This window comes from Homo sapiens, chromosome 2 (assembly GCF_000001405.40).
Source record: "Homo sapiens chromosome 2, GRCh38.p14 Primary Assembly".
NCBI lineage: Eukaryota > Metazoa > Chordata > Mammalia > Primates > Hominidae > Homo > Homo sapiens.
The window spans coordinates 65,153,197-65,159,933 of record NC_000002.12 but is presented as its reverse complement, the minus strand read 5'-3'; the positions used below and the strand labels follow the sequence as shown (position 1 = coordinate 65,159,933).

At 44.4% G+C, this 6,737-nt stretch overlaps 1 non-coding gene across 1 annotated transcript; it reads right to left on the bottom strand.

Moving 5' to 3' along the window:
• Positions 1-1,073: 1,073 nt before the first annotated feature.
• On the bottom strand, positions 1,074-1,272 carry LOC124906140 (small nucleolar RNA SNORA74). The gene has a single exon (XR_007088706.1). It is a non-coding gene; the product is annotated as a small nucleolar RNA SNORA74 (small nucleolar RNA).
• Positions 1,273-6,737: the final 5,465 nt, after the last annotated feature.

Sequence of the window (6,737 nt, the reverse complement as noted above, 5' to 3'; positions counted from 1 at the left end):
TAACACATTACCTGATTTCCTTATGCATTATGTTTCTCGTCTGTCACCTTCACTTGAATATCAGCTTGGTGAGGATAGGGATGTTTTACTTGCTGTTACATATCATGTGCCTAGAACAGTACTCAGCTCAGTGTGGGGCCTGGCACGCAATATTTGTGGAATGAATAGGTACACTTTGGTTGTATCTCTTAAGCAGAAAGACCTATAATGATAACGTTTATAAGTCAAAAATGAAACTTGGCTGGGCACAGTGGCTCACGCCTATAATCCCAGGATTTCGGGAGGCTGAGGTGGGAGGATGGCTTGAGGCGGGGAGTTCCAGACCAGCCTGAACAACATAGTGAAACTCCATTTCTACAGAAAAATCAAAACATTAGCCAGGCGTGGTGGTGCACGCCTGTAGTCCCAGCTAACTTGGGAGGCTGAGGTGGGTGAATTGCTTGGGCCTGGGAGGTCAAGGCTGTAGTGAGCTGTGATCGTGCCACTGCACTCCAGCCTGGCCAACAGAGTGAGACCCTGTCTCAAAAAACAAAATAAAACAAAAGCAAAAACAAACAAACAAAAAAATTAAACTTGGCTGGGCATCGTGGTTCACACCTGTAATCCCAGAACTTTGAGAGGCTGAGGCATGAGGACTTCTTGAGCTCAGGAGTCAAGACAAACCTGGGCCACATAGCAAGACCCTATCTCTAAAAAAAAAAAAAAAAAAAAAAATCTTTTTGAAAGAAAAGAAATTAAACTGAACCCAAAACTTTTTTTTTTTGAAACAGGGTCTTGCTGTGTCACCCAGGCTGGAGTACAGTGGCACAATTTTGGCTTACTGCAACCTCCACCTCCTGGGTTCAAGCGATCCTCCCACCTCAGCCTCCTGAGTATCTGGGACTACAGGTGTGTGCCATCAGGCCCAGCTAATTTTTTGTATTTTTAGTAGAGACAGGGTTTCACCATGTTGGCCATGCTAGTCTCGAACTCCTGACCTCAGGTGATCCGCCCGCCTCAGCCTCCCCAAGTGCTGGGATTATAGGCGTGAGCCACCACACCTGGCCTCAAAATTATTTTTTTCAACAGAAAAGATTGTTTGCACTCAGATTAGGACCGACTCCACAGGAGTCATTTCACTCTCAGAAGTGCAAAACACTGCCCAAAGGTATACTTGGCCCCACACCAAAACAGCACCCGGAGCCAAGCCTCAATTAAGACAGTGCTTGCTGTTCCAACAGTGAAACACCATCACAGGCATCACACTAGCCAGGAGAGCTAACGACTGCTGGATAAAACTTTTAAAATCCAGAATCCTGAGCTATACTTTCCTTTCACTTCAGTTTGTTCTATATTTTTTTTTTACTACAGTTGTACCAAGCTGTCTGTGAATGGCCTCTTTTGTGAATGATTTCATTGTTCTTTTTATTCTATTTGTTGCAATTCTTGGAACTCCTATCAATTCAGCTGTTTCATTGAAACTTTGTACTTCCTTAAAGGAAAATGACACAACTCGATATATTAGAATTAATGTGGGTTAAAGTCAGAATAAGAATAATCTCCCTTTGACCTGGCAAAATTTAAACAAGTGTCCTATGGGATATGAAGATGTACCTTTGACATCCACTGTTTTTTTTTTTTTTTTTTTTTTTGAGACAGAGTCTCACTCTGTCACCAGGCTGGAGTGCAGTGGCGGGATCTCAGCTCACTGCAACCTCTGCTTCTTGGGTTCAAGCGATTCTCGTGCCTCAGCCTCCCAAGTAGCTATGATTACAGGCACACGCAAGCACGCCAGGCTAATGTTTGTATTTTTAGTAGAGACAGGGTTTCACTATGTTGGCCAGGCTGGTCTTGAACTCTTGACCTCAAATGATCTGCCTTCCTCAACCGCCCAAAGTGCTGGGATTACAGGAGTGAGTCACCACTCCCGACCATGACACCCACTGTCATTAACACTCACCCACATCCTCTACATTCCATGGCAAGCCAGGTTCTTCCTAAATGTTGTTAGTCCCTTGGACTAGTATGAAAAATTGCTTTTTGACAATATAATTAGATTTCTCCCAACCTTTCTTGGCTGACTTCTTAAAAAGCAGAAGCAGAGTTATCACTATGCTCCCAGGAAGAGCTATTTATGAAATGTAACATAATTCTTACGGCCAGGCATGGTGGCTCACGCCTGTAATCCCAGCACTCTGGGAGGCTGAGGCGGGCGGATCACGAGGTCAGGAGATCGAGACCATCCTGGCTAACAAGGTGAAACCCCGTCTCTACTAAAAAATACAAAAAAATTAGCCGGGCGTGGTGGCGGGCGCCTGTAGTCCCAGCTACTTGGGAGGCTGAGGCAGGAGAATGGCGTGAACCTGGGAGGCGGAGCTTGCAGTGAGCCGAGATCGCGGCACTCCAGCCTGGGCAACAGAGCGAGACTCCGTCTCAAAAAAAAGAAAAGAAAAAAACCCACTCACCCACATCCTCTACATTCCATGGCAAGCCAGGTTCTTCCTAAATGTTGTTAGTCCCATGGACTAGTATGAAAAATTGCTTTTTGACAATATAATAGATTTCTCCCAACCTTTCTTGGCTGACTTCTTGAAAAGCAGAAGCAGAGTTATCATTATGCTCCCAGGAAGAGCTATTTATGAAATGTAACATAATTCTTTTCTATAGTAATTCTGCTAGTAAAAATAGCCTATTCTAGAAGGTAGCTCCTCTTTTTTTCCTAGCTTGACCATATTTATAGACATGTTAAATGCCTTTCTTAGTGTCTCAATAATAAATCTCATAATTGTATTTATTTATTTATTTTTGAGACAGGGTCTTGCTCTGTCACCCAGGCTGGAGTGCAGTGCTGCGGTCACGGCTCACTGCAGTCTTTACTTCGTGGGTTCAAGCGATCCTCCCACTTCAGCCTCCCTAGTAGCTGGGCCCACAGGCACCTGCCACCACACCTGGCTAATTTTTGTACTTTTTGTAGAGACAGAGTTTTGCCATGTTGCCCAGGCTGATCTCGAAATCCTGGCCTCAAGCAATCCACCCACTTCCGAAAGTGCCGGGATTACAACAGGCATGAGCCACCATGCCTGGCCAGTCTCGTAGTTTTAAATGGATGAAAAGCCAATGGTTCACAAGTTCATCTGATCCTTTTTACTCCCTCTCCTCCCTTTTGTTGGTGTATGAAAATTGCTAAATTCAGAGAGAAAAGACAACTAATATAAGGCACTAAATGGAAATGAAAGTAAGTTGAACAAAGGATTTAATAAAAAAGACTGATTCCTGAAAGAGAAAATGATAGAGCTAACATGGCAAAAGATGAACAATTGGCGAATTGGGCAAAAGGTATCAGAGAGCTTTTGTAGAATTCTTGTAGCTTTTCTGCAAGTTTGAATTACTTAAAAATAAAGAGATAAAAACATGTCTGATCTTTTTGGGCTAAGTATTAGTAAATAAGTCATCAATATCTAGTAGCTGCTAGGGATACAATGATGAATCATGCATAGATCTCGTCCACAATCTAGAAGGAGAGAGAGACATGTAAATAAATGTCTCAAGATTATGAAGTGGGGCTCCTTCGTTTCAGCAACACTGTGGCACCAGTGAACAGGTAATCAGGTTAACAAAGTCAGCTGAAGCTAACAGTCCTCTCTGCCTAGGAGGAATTTTCAAAGGGAATGGGAAAAAACCTGTTTTACAATTCTTAGACTCCTCAGTTCTACCAAGGTTATAGAAAGGAGAGAGAGCCCATTCCCTGAGGGAGGAGAGCTGGAATGCCACCTTCTTAATCCCACACTTGCAGAACAATGCCAAGAGGATACCTTGGAGAACTTAAAATGCATTTCTTCAGAGGGGACAAACAGAAAACCAAAAACAAAATGGCAGATGTAAACCCTAACTTATTATTGAAAATAAATAGTCTAAAGACAGCAGTTAAAACACAGAATTTGGACCAGGAGTGGTGGCTCATGCCTGTAATCCCAGCACTTTGGGAGGCCAAGACGGGCAGATCACTTGAGGTCAGGAGTTCGAGACCAGCCTGGCCAACATAGTGAAACACTGTCTCTACTAAAAATACAAAATTTAGCTAGGCGTGGTGGCAGGCGCCTGTAATCCCAGCTACTCGGAAGGCTGAGGCAGGAGAATCACTTGAACCAGAGAGGCGGAGGTTGCAGTGAGCCAAGATTATGCCATTGCACTCCAACCTGGGGGACAAGAGCAAGACTTCGTCTCAAAAAAAAACCAACCAACCAACAAAACAAACGAACAAAAAACACAGAATTTGGTCTGGGTGTGGTAGCTCAGACCTGTAATCCCAGTGTTTTGGGAGGCTGAGGCAGGAATATCACTTGAGGCCAGGAGTTTGAGATTACAGTGAGCTGTGATTGCACACTGCACTCCAGCCTGGGTGACAGAGCAAGACCCTGTCTCTCAAATAGTAGACAGGGAAAGTGTAGACCCTGTCTATTATTTTCAACTTGTACCAGAAGAGAAACTCCACTGAATAAAAATGCTGATATTGATAGTATTAAACAATTATGGGGTCTGGGTGCGGTGGCTCACTCCTGTAATTCCAGCACTTTGGGAGGCTGAGGCAGGTGGATCACCTGAGGTTAAGAGTTCGAGACCAGCCTGGCCAACGTGGAGAAACCCCCTCTCTACTAAAAATACAAAAAATTAGCAGGGCGTGGTGGCAGGCAACTGTAATCCCAGCTACTTGGGAGGCTGAAGCAGGAGAATCGCTTGAACTCGGGAGGTGGAGGTTGCAGTGAGTGGAGATCACACCATTGCACTCCAGCCTGGGCAACAAGAATGAAACTCTGTCTCAAAGAAAAACAAAAAAGGAGAATTATGGGCTGGGTGCAGTGGCTCACGCCTGTAATCCCAGCACTTTGAGAGGCCGAGGTGGGCAGATCACCTGAGGTCAAGAGTTCGAGACCTGCCTGGCCAATATGGTGAAATCCCGTCTCTACTAAAAATACAAAAATTAGCCAGTCATGGTGGCGGGCGCCTGTAATCCCAGCTACTCGGGAGGCTGAGGCAAGAGAATCGCTTGAACTGGGGAGGTGGAGGTTGCAGTGAGTCGAGATTATGCCACTGCACTCTAGCCTGGGCAACAGAGCAAGACTCCAGGAAGTGGAGGTTGCAGTTAGCCGAGATTGTGCCACTGCACTCCTGCCTGGGTGACAGAGTGAGATTATCTCTCCAAAACAAAAACAAATAAATAATAAAAGTAAGAATTAAAAAAGAGGCAAAATAAGAGCCTAAAAATGTACTACCAAGGTAAAAGGTAATATCAAAAAGCTACCTGGTGTCTGGCAGGAATGTTGCAAGAGTGTTATTGTATAACAGGGCTTCACAAACTTTCATGTTCCTAGAAATCACTCAGGGATTGTGTTAGGATGCAGATTCTGATTCAATAGGTCTTGGGTAGGCCTGAGAATCTGCATTTCTAATAAGCTCCCAAGTGATGCTGATGCTGCTGGTCCAGGAACCTCAGTTTAATGAGTGAAGTAGAGGACATGTGGACCATGGTATCTGCCTTACTTGATAACCCCTCATAGCTGAAACTGATCATACTCCTCCACGGTCCTCCATTCAGGACTTTTGTGAGGAGTCGAGAGGGGAGCATATTCATTGGCCCCACAGTGGGCTTCTGACTCAAGGAGAACTCTTCCATAGGCTAGGCTTCAAAATGCAAGATGCTGGGGCCTAAGGCAGCTATGACAATTAGCTGGGCCACTTGGACAAGGAATTTGCACGAAAGCACAGGCCAGGCCCCAGAGGTAGTGACTATAACTCCCAAGGGGCCAGATAGGCTTGCTAGTTCCATTCATTCTGTGTGTCCAAAACACTTCCTCCCCTTTTCTTCACATAGTCTGGATACATTCACTCACTCATTTCTTCCTTCAACAAGTATGTATTGAGCATCTACTCTACTGGAGGCACAGTTCTGGGCTCCAGAGGTACAACGGAGAGTAAAATAAGGCCCCTCATCTCAGGAAGTTTGCATTCAGACTTTTCAGACAAATTGGTGCATGAATTATATACACTTCCAGGTGATAAAGAAAGTGAGAGGTGAATGAAAATACTCTTTAATTTTTTCACAATTATACTTTAGAGCAGGGGTCCCCAATCCTCAGGTTGTGGACTGGTACTGGTCTGTGACCTATTAGGAACTGGCCCACACAGCAGGCGATGAGTGGCGGGTGAGCAAGCAAAGCTTCATCTGTATTTACAGTCTGTCCCCATGACTCACATTACCACCTGAGCTCTGCCTCCTGTCAGATCAGTGGTGATATCAGATTCTCATAGGAGCATGAAACCTATTGTGAACTGTGCATGCAAGGGATCTAGACTGCACGTTCCTTATGAGAATCTAATGCCTGATGATCTGTCACTGTCTCCCATCATCCCCATATGGGACTGTCTAGTTGCAGGAAAACAAGCTCAAGGCTCCCACTAATTCTACATTATGGTGACTTGTATGACTATTTCATTATGCATTACAATGTAATATTAATAATAGCAGAAATAAAGTGCACAATACATGTAATGTACTCGAATCATCCCAAATCAATCCACCCCGCCATTCTGGTCCATGAAAAAATTGCTTTCCACGAAACTGGTGACTGGTGCCAAAATGTTGGGGCCTGCTGCTTTAGAGGGCATTTATTTTTAAACAACATTATCTGAAAATGGCGTGGGATAAGTTGTTGGTTCCCACTTTAATGCTGAGCTTTTTTTTTTTTTTTTTGAGACAGGGT